Source organism: Homo sapiens, chromosome 16, assembly GCF_000001405.40.
Source record: "Homo sapiens chromosome 16, GRCh38.p14 Primary Assembly".
Lineage (NCBI taxonomy): Eukaryota > Metazoa > Chordata > Mammalia > Primates > Hominidae > Homo > Homo sapiens.
This window is the reverse complement of record NC_000016.10, coordinates 35,333,980-35,347,259: the sequence shown is the minus strand read 5'-3', so window position 1 is coordinate 35,347,259 and position 13,280 is coordinate 35,333,980. Positions and strand designations below refer to the sequence as shown.

Below are 13,280 nucleotides of genomic sequence, written 5' to 3'. Positions count from 1 at the left end.
CAGGCATGGAAAGGCAGCTTCGCCAAGATGGCTGCTGTGGCTCCCACCAGGATGCCCTGACACATTTGCCTGGAGCCAAACGGGGCTGTGGGCAACAAGCAAGGGGGCAGCTGATGGCCCTCCCCGATCTGCAAGGTCTGGAAACCGGAAAACTCCTGGGAACTATTACATCTTCCTCAGCTATAGTAACAGCAGGAGGAGCGTAGGAGAAGTCAAGGGGCCAGAAGCACTCGGGCCCTTCCTGGCTTGAGTCAGAAACAGTGGCCAAGAGAGTTTTAAATAAAGTTTACATGTGGCTAGATAGGACCTGCTGATTAATCTTAAAATTTTTCCACATTTATTGAGCTATGATTTACACATTGAAAAGTGTATGCATTTAGGGTGTAAAATAGAGTGCTTTAAGATGTGTGTATCTTCCCACTTTTCCCCACTTCCTAGCCCATGGTAACTACCATTCTACTCTCTCTTTCTTTCTTTTTCTTTCTTTCTTTCTTCTTTCTCTTTCTTTCTCTCTCTCTCTGATTCCACAAACGAAATCATGCAGTATTTGTGTTTCTTGTATTTCACTTATCTCACTTAGCATAATGTCTTCAAGGTTTATCAATATTGTTGTAAATGAAATTTTCATTATTACAGCTGAAATTACCTCTCTTACACAGTTTATCCATTTATTTGTATCAGAAGAGTACAGATACCCTTGGCGATACTATTTTTATGTCCTTTGATTACATACTCCAAATTGGGATTAATGGTGCTTCTAATTTAAAATTTTTAAGGAATCTCTATAATTTTTTTAACAATGGCTGCACCAATGGACATGCTCAGCAACAGTGTACAAATATTTTCTTTTCTTTGCACTCTAACACTTTTTATCTTTTGACTTTTTTATAATAGCTATCCTAACACCACGATAAGGTGATATCTCATTGTGATTTTGAGTTTAATTACTCTGATAATTAGTGATGTTGAGAATGCTTTTATATATCTGCTGTCCATTTTTAAGTCTTTGGAAAAATAGCTATTTAGATATTTTGCCCAATCGATAATAAAATTGGTTTTTGTTTTTTTCTGCTGTGGGTTTTTTTATATTGATTAGTGTGACATATAATTTGGATAGTATCATATTATCCCACATATGGATTACAAATATTCTTTCCCATCCAACATACTATCTCTATATTTTGATTGTTTTATTTATTGTGCAGAAACTTTTTACTTTGATATAGTTCCACTTTTTTATTTTTGCTTTAGTTTCTTGTGTTCTTTGTGTCGAATCCAAAACATCATTGCCATGACCAATGACAAGGAGCTTTATCCTTATTCTTTATAGAAAATTCATGATTTCAGTTCTTACGTATAAATCCTTAATTTATTTTAATTTTTTGGGATAAGAGCTCACTTTTTCTGTGTGCATATCTAGTTTTTTGTACACCATTTCTTGATGTCATTTTCTATTTCTAATTCTGTGATAACAGTTGACTGTATATGCGTGAGTCTATTTCTCGCTCCTCCATTTTGTTCCATTGGTTTTTATGTAGGTACCATGCTATTTTGATGACTATAGCTTCGTAATATAGTTTGAAATCAGGAAATTTTAGGCTTTCAGCCTGTTTGTTCTTCTCAGTATTTGGCTATTTGGATTCTTTTGTGGCTCCATACTAATTTTACAATTGTTTGTTCTACATTTACTTTAATAGCATTAAAATTTTGATAGAAATTTAACCCTAGAACTGAAAGTATAATAATAAAAAAAGAAATTTATTTAACTGTGTAGATAACTATGTGTAGTATAGATATTTTAACAATATTAATTTTTAGAATCCATGAACACAGGATATAGTTCCTATTTTGTATTCTTCGTTTTCTTTTACCAACATTTTATAGTTTTCAGTATGCAGATCTTTAACATTCTTGGTTAAACTCATTCTATTTAATGAATTATTTCATTCTATTTGATAATACTGTAAGTGGAATTGTTTTGTTTATTCCTTTTTCTGAATATTTTGCTGTTACTGTATCAAAATGCAACTGATTTTCATGTTAATATTGTATCCTGCAACTTTACTAGTTTGTTAGCTATAACAGGGTTTTATTTTTAACCCTGGTTAACACTTTAAATTGATAGTTGCTATTATCATAATTCTTTAAAATATGACCAGATGAATTACTGCTGTCATGAATTCAATGGAATTCACGTTTCCATTTAAAATAATTGTATCTGTTTTGTCTGGGCCCCAGAATGGGGGGCACCCCATGGGAGTCAGGAAATTCCAGATGGGGAGGGAGAAGCAAACAGGGAGGAGGCTGAGCGAGAGAAACAGAGAGAGGCTCTGGGGACAGTAGGGAGGAGACGGGTCGTGTCCGAGACTGAGTGGGGAGACAGAATGGGCCAGAAAAGAGGTTAAAGGTGAGAGTGGGCAACAGGACTGCTTCTCGGCACAGGCACGGGGCAGGGAACTTTGCTGAAACTGAAGGGCCCAGTGAACAGTGTGGGCAGGGTGGGAGGGAATGGAGAGGACCAGGCAGACCCCAAGGTCAATTTGGAGGAAGGAACATTTCCCGGTTCCTTCGCCTCTGCCCAGCGTTCTGCGGGCATGGTTCCCCCAGGGGCAGGGCACGGGAGGAGGCGGCTCCCGGCGGGCTCGGAGAGCTGAGGGGCGCACACCCGCTTCGCAGGGCCGGGGTGACGGTGGAAGCAAGCGACGGCTGCGGATGCCGCTGGCCGGGTGGGTAGGTGCTGGGGCCTTAAGCTGGGCGGAGCTCAAAGGGCCCAGCGCTGGGGCCTGCAGGTGGCCCTGGAGGAATCCACCCGCCCGTGCCTTCTGGGAGAGCAGTGTGGATGGCGCCGTGGACACGCCCTTCCTAGCTGGAACATTTGTGAGGCTGGAATTTAAGCTCGGGCAGACAAGCGCCAGAAGAAGGAATGGATGAAACCCCAGTGCAAAGTCCAGCCCAAGGTGAGGAAGCGGAAATGCCTGGCCTGCGTCAAACTGGGCTCCGAGGATAAGGTTCTGGGCCGGATGGATGACTGCCTTACAGAGACGCAGGCTTGGCGGGAGTCTGAGGAGCACCAGGAGACCCAGTGCAGCCGGGCGGAGTGGGCGGTGAGGATACCACAGCTACTGCTTCCCTGCACAGTTCGCCTTCTCCAAGGCCCGGACCTCAGCTGAGCCCAGCACTGAATTGCATGGCGCCTCCTGGACCACTGCCGGGGGTGTCCAGTGGAAGACCCCACTTCCCAGAGAGAGAACCCCACTATATCCCCAGCAAATAAAGCTGCTCCCTAACCAAAATAAATAAATAAATAAAATCATTTTGGTCTTTGAAAATAATGTATACCCTCTGTTTACTGGTAAACGTGCTGCTCATGTATCTGTATGCCTAATTAGTTAAACTTTTTAATGAAGTTATTTAACATTTATGATTCTTTATTATGATACAAAACAGTAAATTTTATAATGGTTTTAATATCATCTAATATAATTGAAAAAATGTCAATTTGTCATTGCCCATGAATCTTTGTGTTATTTATTTTACACTGTCAGATATTCTGTCTACAAATATCTAATGGCTTAGAATCTTGCCTAACATATTGTATGTGCTAAGTACTAACTACTCTAATTCATCAAATTATCTTTTCACACCATTCTTAAAATACAATATTATTTTTATTTATTTTTATTAAAATTATTTTTCTGCTTAAATATTTATGAAAATTATGAGGGCTATTCAGTCTGCCCTCTTGATGAAAGTTTGTTTTTCTCTTTATTAATACGTTAGAGGGTACAAATGCAGTTTCATCACATGGACATGTTGCATAGTGATGAAGTATGAACTTTTGGTGTAACAATCATCTGAACGGTGCTCATCGTCCCAATTAGGTATTTTCTCATTCCTAACCCCTCTACCAACCTCCCATCTTTCTCAGTCTTCAGCGTCTATTTTTCCAGCCTCTATATCCAAGTGTATGCATTATTGAGCTCCCACTTAGAAGTAAGAAAGTGCAGTACTTGATTTTCTGTTTTTGATTTATTTCACTTACAATCACGGCCTCCGATTCCATTCATGTTGCTGCAAAAAAAATGTTTTTATTCTTTATGGCTGAATAGTATTCCATAAATGTATAAATGTATAGCACATTTTCTTTATTCAATCATTGATTGATAAATTTAAATTGACTCCATATCCTTGCTATTGTGAATAGTGCTGCAATAAACATATGAGTATGGGTATCTTCTTTAATTAATAAATTATTTTCCTTTGGATAGATACCCAGTAGAGGGAGTGCTGAATCAAATGGAAGTTCTATTTTTAGTTTTTTAAGAAATCCCCATACTGTTTTCCATCGAGGTTGTAGAAATTTACATTCGCACAAACAATGTATAAGTGTTCCCTTTTCTCTGTATCCTTGCCAATATCTTTCATTTTTTTGCTTTTTAATAGTTAACCATTATGAATGGTGTAAAATGGTATTTCATTGTGGTTTTTAATTGGCATTTCTTTGATCATTGGCAACGTTGAACATTTTTTACATGCTTGTTGGCTATCATTGTCTTCTTTTTGAAAAATCTGTTCCCATACTTTGCCTGCTTTTTAATGAGGGTACTTGTTTTATTCTTGTTGAGTTGTTTGATTTCCTTGTATATTTTGCACATTAGTTCTTTGTCACGTGCATAGTTCACAAACAGTTTTCTTATCCCATAAGTTGTCTGCTCACATGTTAATTAAAAGCTCCTTTTCAGGAGCTTTTTAGTTTAATTAAGTTCCATTTGTCTATTTTTCTTATTGTTGCATCTGGTTTTGAAATCTTAGTCATGAATTCTTTGTCCAGGGCAATGTCCAGAAGAGTTTATCATAGGGTTTCTTCTAGAATTTTTATCATTTTAGGTCTTCATTTTAGTCTTTTAATCCATATTGAGTTGGTTTTTGTATATGGTGAGAGTGACAGGTCCCATTTTGTACTTCTGCATATGGCAATATAATTTTTCCAGCGCAATTTGTTGAATAGGATGTCATTTTCCCAGTGTATATTTTTGCTGACTTTGTAAAAGATCAGTTTTGTGTAGGTTTGTGGCTTTATTTCTAGGTTCTCTATTCTGTTCCTTTGATCTATGCATCTATTTATATCAGTACCATGCCGTTTTGGTTATTAAAGCCTTCTAGTATATGATTCTATACGAATTTAATTTTTTTCTAATTCTATGCTAAATAACATTGGCATTTTGGTAGGAACTGCGTTTAATATGTAGATTATTTGGGGAAGTATGGTCATTTTAATGATAATAATTCTTACAATCCATGAGCATAGGATGTTTTCCTCATTTGTTTGTGTCATGTACAGTTTATTTCATCAACGTTTTGTAGTTTTCCTTGTGGATATCTTTAGCCTATATGATAAATTGTATTTCTAGTTATTTCACCTTTTTTCCAGCTATTGTAAAAGGAATTGACTTTTTAATTTGGTTCTCAGCTTGTTCATTATTAGTGTATAAAAATGCTACTAATTTTTGTACATTGATTTTTATATCCTGAAACGTTATTAAATTCTTTTATGAAATCTAAAAGTTTTTTGGTGGTCTTTAGATTTTTCTAGATATAATAGTATCTAATCATCAAACAGGGACAATTTGACTTCCTAGTTAAAATCATATGTATTGCCCACCAAGATCAACAGACAAAATCCATGGGGAGGGCACAGGTGATGGTATTTCTTTAAAGTAGTCATGTCATTATGGTTGGAAGCCTAGACTGAGAGACACTTAGCTAAGAATTGCCTCTCAAGTTTCAATGTACATGTAAATCATTTCCGATTCCAGGCCTCTCTCTTAGTAATGTGATTGTGCAGGTTTGGAAGGGGTCCATGAATTGACTTCTTTAAAAAGTCTCCTCTTAATGCTGATGTTTCTTCTAGTACATCCATTGTGGTGGCACTAGCTAGAGAAAGTAGGCACAGCACACAGAGTTCCTGACACCCAATACTCTTACCACAACATAAATACTTTTGGCCCAAGGTGGAAACCACCAATCACCATTCAGAAACGTGTTATTCTCAGCTGGCTCTGTAAAGTTTGCAGAGGCTAGAGAAGATATCAATGTTTGAGTAATTCTGCATTTGGAAAACATGTATACATGAGTTAATACAATGTATATTTAGCATGTACTATGTGCTTAGAAGTCTGTTATAGAGCACTGTGCTGGAAACATCATGTGACATGAGTGAATCCTCATAGCTCCCTGGGAGTTGGGTGCCAAGTGTTCTGTAATTTCCAGGATTTAAATGAAGGGCCCAGCATTTCCATTTATTCTTTCATTTTTAAAATTATTTACCTTAAAAAGAAAATGTGTAGGAAAAAACTATATAGACACATGAAAGGGATAGAGAAAGAAAGGGTGAGCTGTTCAGAGGGATTTTTGGTATTTATATTTACTTTCTTGTGCATTGTAGAGCAACTACTGGATCTGCAGAAATAAAAAAAAAAAGAGGTTACTTGGTGGGATATCTGTAGAAGCACTGCCTTCAATGAAAAAGAAATTGTGGCCCACAAATAGATAATTATTTGCTCACATTTATCTGCTTTTTATTTTCAGGAAATTGTGGGCACCAGCTCAGGAGAGGCAGCAGGAGCCACCTCTCAAATTTCTGGTCTCATTTAATTAGTTTTGTGAGAGGAGATTCTAGGGTGAGGCCAGACCTGGATGAGGCCTTGGAAGAGGGTGGATCTGAACAGGGATGCAACAGAAAGTGGGCCCCATGCATCTGATGCCTATGCTGGTGGAATATTTCCAGTTCTGTCTTTTCTAATCCTGCCCAAGAGAAACTTGACTCCTAGAGTTTGTGTAATTTCAATCTATTTAGCCATTTCCCTGTCACTTTTTATAACACACAATAACAAGAAATTTAACCAAAACTTTTAGGGTTTCTTAGGAATATTATATGAGAAACTCAAAAATGTATTTTTACTAAGCTTAAAGAAATGGAAATAATCACAATAGCAATAATTCTTCTGTCCATGAATAGCCCTTCAGGAGATGACATCAGAACTCACAACAGCATAGGGAAGTGGAACAAATGTAGCCAAAGTCCCCTGTACACCTCCCTTCTCTCTTCCGACCACAGAATGTTGAATTCAATTATTTAGCCATTGGCTCTGGAATGAAAGTATCTGGACAGTAGAAAGCGTGAATCTGTTTCATCTGTTTTTCTAATGGTCATATGATATAGTTTAGATGTCCCCTCTAAATCTCATATTGAATTTTAATTCCTAATGTTACAGGTGGGCCTGGTGGGAAGTGGTTGATTCATGGGGATGGATTCCTCAGGGCTCTGTGCTGCCCTTGTCATAAGAAGTACTCACAAGTTCTAGCGGCTTAAAAGTGAGGCATATCTCTCCCTCATCTTTCCTGTTCCCACTTCTAGCGTTTATGCCTGCTCCTATTTCATCTTTCACCATGACTGTAAGCTTCTTTATATGTTAATGTTGTTACAAAATTTCACTGAATTTTCTTATAAAATTACCTGAAAAAATTTTGTGTTATTTTAACATCATAAATATAATAAATAAATATGATATTATGACATCTGATATATTATGATAGCATAATTTGTATATATTATGACATCACAATATATTATGATATCATGATTCACATCCATTATGTCACAGTATATCATGACATCACAATATATGTGCAACATCACCATATGTCATGACATCATAATTCATGTATTGTGACATCACAATATATTATGAAATCATATTTGTTTACATTGTGACATCACAATATATTCTGACATCATAATTCATAAGCATTGTGACATCATATTTTGTGATATAATTCATATGTATTATTATGATAACATATAAAATTTTGTTAGGTAATTTTATAAGAAAATTGAGTTAAATTTTGTAACTACCTTAACATATAAACTTAATAGTACCTAAGAATATTATCTCCTCTTGTGTGAATGACTGCTTTATGATATTATACCATAATATATCAAAATGGTTTATATATCAAATAAATTTTATATGATAATATGGTATCAATATATAGTGATATTATAAGTTTCATTTAAATCCTATTTAAATTCAGACAATTTTGTTAGGCAGTGTCTGTCTACCATCTGATATTTTTTGGGGGTCCACTATTTGCACAGACAGCACACCTGGGAAAACACAGACTCACTCAGCACAGGCTCTTCCTGAATCTTTCCCCTCCTCAGGCATCAGTTCATCAGTCAACCAAATAACTGGAGAGCAGAGGGCAAGTATTCCCTAACACAGAAGGTCTCATTCCTGCATGCTTTTCTTAGAAGAGGGAAAAACAAGAAGGTCCTTTTGGGGGACACTTGCTGGGACATACACTAAGCCTTCTATAGTTTGGGAGCCCTAACCAGCAGATACAGACTTCTCAGTAGGAAGGGATGAGACAGCTGTCCTGAGCCTGGAGCTCCAACATACTTGTCCCATCTCGTTTAGGCAATTTTGAGAGGCTGCTCTGGAATATGTCTTAACGGTAGATGTTGGGAAATAACCAGGCTTTGATGGGACTCGTGTGGTGTCTGTAGTGTGAAGACAGGAGCTGAATGCTCAGGATCTAGGCTGTTTTTCTTGTGGTCAGTTGGGTAACCTGTTTGGGACCAAGTCCATTTTCACTAAGGAGACTGAATAAATTCTATAGAACAGAATACAGCTCCCAGGATGACTCAGGAAAGGTGAGAAACAGGAGAAGCTTCTCTCTCTACCTAGACTTTTTGCTACTTCAAGAATCATGAGGCCAGGCACAGTGGCTCAAGCCTGTAATCCCAGCACTTTGGGAGGCTGAGACAGGCAGATCACGAGGTCAGGAGATGGAGACCATCCTGGTTAACATGGTGAAACCCCATCTCTACTAAAAATACAAAAAATTAGCTGGTCTTGGTGGCAGGCACCTGTAGTCCCAGCTACTCGGGAGGCTGAGGTGGTAGAATGGCATGAACCCGGGAGATGGAGCTTGCAGTGAGCCCAGATCATGCCACTGCTCTCCAGCCTGGGCAACAGAGTGAGACTCCATCTCCAAAAAAAAAAAAAAAAAAAAAAAATCATGAGCTGACTAAATTACCATCAGCTCTAATCTAATCACATTGATTCTATCATGTTTGATCTAATTATCTTCCCCCATGTTAAGGTAGAATGGGCCATTTTATTTGGTATTTACTTTTTCTCCACATTTTTAACATATATGTATGTATCTAATACAATCAACCATAATTTTAATCTGACATTTCTAAGCATTTGAGAAATTATAATGTCTATGTATATTATTTTAACACTATGTATAATGCTCTTTCTTTGCAAAATGTATAACACATTTCAATATAGGTGTTGTTATACATAAAATGTTTATTCAGAAACAGAATGCTTGTTCCTCAGTGCCGCAAGGAAAAATCAGCATTCACACAAAAATTTTTCTCATCAAGGCAATTTTACTTTTTGCAGAAAGAGTACTCCTTGTGGATAGAACAATGGTGAGAGCACACTCGAACAAAGGAGAAAAGCAATTTTTATCCTTTATGCAGCTTGTCCCTGCGACTGTGTCCTGTCTCCATTGGCTGGAGCTGGACTTCACAATCTAAGCTAAACCTGACTAGCTAATAACTTAAAACTCTCCTAAATAGGTAAAGGCAAGGGAGAACAAAGGAAAACAGGAAGTTGCTTGCAAAAAAACTTAGAAAAGTAATAATATTTCAAAATAGGGAAGGGGCATAGGCTGTGCGCTATGAAGTCTAAAACAAATATCTTGGTTAAAGTACAAGTACATAGGATGTACTCATACCCTTATATCTAACAGCTACATAGGATGGGGCATAACAAAGAGTTATTAGCACAAAGCAAGGAGTCTTGAAGGAAGTTAGTCTTTAAAAGAAACTATTATTTCTAACACTTATGAATTATTCTTTAACAAAAAAGGAAACGTTGAAGGGAACCTTTTTTACTTTCTACAGGTATGTTTAATTCTGCATCTTGAATAATAAGCGGTATCATAAATAATTCCAGGTAGGAATTGGGAAATTATTATAAAATGATTCCCTTATCTTCTGATTCCTGTGCCCCTGGCTCTGTTTTTTTGTTTGTTTGTTTGTTTGTTTTTATTTTTGACACTATGGCAAGACCCAGAAAATGTCTCCCAATAACTGTGTCTAGGTCTCTAATAAAACTACAGCAAGAAACTTTTCTTTTTGAGGCGCTAATGAGAGCCAGAAAAAGAAAACAGCCAAGAAGAGTAAGCCACACCCAGCTGAGGGACATATAAAAAGGCAGGTCCAGCAGAGTAACTCACACTGTGAATCTGGACGTGAGAGAGAGAGCACCTTTCACTTGAATTTGAACATGGGAAAAGGAAATGAAAACTCTGATTCACCACTGCTCGTACATCCAATGCCCCACTGACCAGCCTTCTTTCAAACAGATCTCCTTTACAGAAAAGGGCTCAGATGAGAAGAAACCATTGAAAGAAAAAAGGCAAGACCCCCTCCTCCCATTCCAGTGAGAAGCACATGCAAAGGCAGGTAAGGCCTTGGGCTGTTCCTATGAAGTCTCCAGGGAGGGTTGGAATCAGAGATACTGAGCTATGTGTCTTTGATAGGGTTTTATTTTGAAATTGGGAATGGGAAATGGCTTAGATCTCTGAGGAGACTTTGAGAAATGTATTCACTCATGACACTGGCAGAACAGCTTCACTTGAAAGACTGATTCACAAATATTTTTCAGAGACAGACTATGGGACACTGTACCTGGGAGAGGTGAGTCACCTAAACTCCATGTTGCACTAGGATCAAAGCCTAATCCAAATGGAAAGAATTCTGAGGAAACTAAGCTCAAAGTCAGAAACAGCACTGCTAGATCAGGTAAAATTTGACTCTTTCAAGGTAAAAAGAGACAGAGCTGCAACACAGTCTCCCCTGGCAAGAAAACTGGGAGCTCTTTGGCAGCCAGGGCCTTACAGATTCTGGATTCTGGAGAACAGAGGAGAGACAGGTTTGGTTGCAACTTCAGTTTCTGTGTGTCCAGGATAAACTAAGCCTTCTAGGGTGTTTGATTGGAGGCACTTACTCAAACTATTATTTTATCAATAGAACCAGAGTAGAGCTTGCATGAGGGAAACTCCAAGTAAAGGAGAATCAGCTCCAAAGACAGCTGCCAAGACAGAGCAAGTAGAATCCTGCTTTTTTCCCCCCTAAAGGGCAAACAAGCAGAAGACTTGTTTGGGGTTGAGCAGCAAGAAGGCTTCTTAGTGACTGAGATAATTTTGGAGATCCTGGCACTCAGAGGATATCTGGGGACTCAGAAGGGGTTAAGCTTCACTTCATTAAAGTGCTAAGATGGTCAGGAAGGAGAAGAAGAGACAAATGAGGTTCACCTGAAGATGCATGGAAGGTTGTGGAAATGAGGGTCTGTGGGCACTGTTCTGGAGAGTCTCTCACTCCCATGCTTCCTCTGCAGGGAACTGTCCAAGAGAAGAGTGCAGCTTGATGTTGAAAAAGAAACTAAAAGTCCTCCACTGCTTTGCAAAGCAGTGAAATCCAGGAGACCTGTGATGCCCACCATAGAGGTCCTTTCATGGCTTGCACTGGGTGCAGCAAGTGGCACAAGTCTCAGGCCCCTGGAGTTCAATAGTCATCACTTTGGAAAGCTTAGTGAACTTCCGAGGTGAGTCAAAGGCCATTTATCAAAACCCATCCCATGTGTTGGTGCAGCAGGTCCATTCTCCACTGACCTGGGAGAAGCTCACTCAGCTTGCCTGGATCTGGGGGCCTCTGTGTGCCCAGGTGCAGACCTTCTATGCCATGGCCACCCAGGCAGGTTATGTCTTCTCTCTTAAGAACTGGCTTGTTTCAGCCACACTGCCTGGCCCTGAGGATTCAGCTCTGGATAGAGAAGCCCATCCCTTGCCTGGGCAGGAGATAACTGAGCCTGTCAGTAGATCAGATGAGGCTTAGGCTAGGTGCACCCTCACCCTATTCACAGGGGAATGTGAGCAAGAACTTGCTACTTCTCAGATTCTTCCAGATGACCAGCAGTGACAATTTTAGATGCACAGTGTTAATAAATGACAGAACCTGAGCAGTCATAAGAAAGGAACATGAACAATATACTCAAAATAGTGAACCTTGCATTTTGTAGAGGGCTAAGATTATACACAAATTATACATTTCCTGTTAGACATTTGATGTCTTGGATGTTTCATGACAGTCAGGCATTTCTATATAATCAGACAAATATTAAGATGCAATCATTCATATGCCTTTGCATATTTTAAATTGTAGCCAAATAAATATAAAATTATGTTCTTCTCTTTTAATTCAAAAAAGGTTGTAGCCTCTCACTCTCCCACACTGAATCCATGGAACACGAATATCCACAAACATTTAATAGTACTCTTCATGGGAAAATGTCAACATATTTTTACAGTTTAATAAAATTATGGTGAAATCACCACACAAGGTGTTTACTAATAATATTTTTACATAAAATTGAAGTCAAGATATGTTAAATGTAATTGATCATAATTATTTATCCTTCACCTGACTCATATTTGTCTCATTTTAAATTTTCTAAATTTAAACTTTATACAATTCAGTTGGTCATACTGTATTGTAAGACATTAAAGGTAATATAAATATTGTCATTTATTTTACATATTGTAACATTTTATATTTTTCATCTTGCATTTTACAGTGAGATTATGAAATCTTTCATCACCTAAATGTATTTTGTTTTGTTCTCTGCTTCATAATTTTCATATACATAATGATATAAACATTAATGTTTTTGAGAATATTCAATTTTAGATGATTTTGTATTTTATCCACACTGAATTTTTATTTACTCCATGTGTGAGTTAGAGGACTTTTTACCTTCACTTCTGCTTTATTTTCACCCTGACCCTTCACACCCCACAACTCTTGTTTTAGTCAAAGAACAGTGATTTATCATTCCAGTAAATGGAGCCAATTCAATGAAAATATACAGATATACCTTGGAGATATATGGCTTTTGCTCTAGACAGGTACTATAAAATAAATATCACAATAATGTGAGTCACACAATTTTTCTTCTTTCCCAGTGCATATAAAAATCATGTTTACACTACAATGTAGAATAAGACTGAAATAGCCTATGTTTCTAATAACAAGGTACAAACCTTGACAAAAAATGTACTATATTGCTAAAAAAGGCTGACACAGATATACACACAAAAAAATCACATGATGCTGGAAAAATAGTGTTAATAGAGTC

At 37.7% G+C, this 13,280-nt stretch overlaps 2 pseudogenes; both read left to right on the top strand.

The window, feature by feature from the left end:
* FRG2HP (FSHD region gene 2 family member H, pseudogene) lies at positions 6–12,678 on the top strand (annotated as a pseudogene).
* Positions 2,224–2,856, top strand: RARRES2P9 (retinoic acid receptor responder 2 pseudogene 9; annotated as a pseudogene).
* Positions 12,679–13,280: the final 602 nt, after the last annotated feature.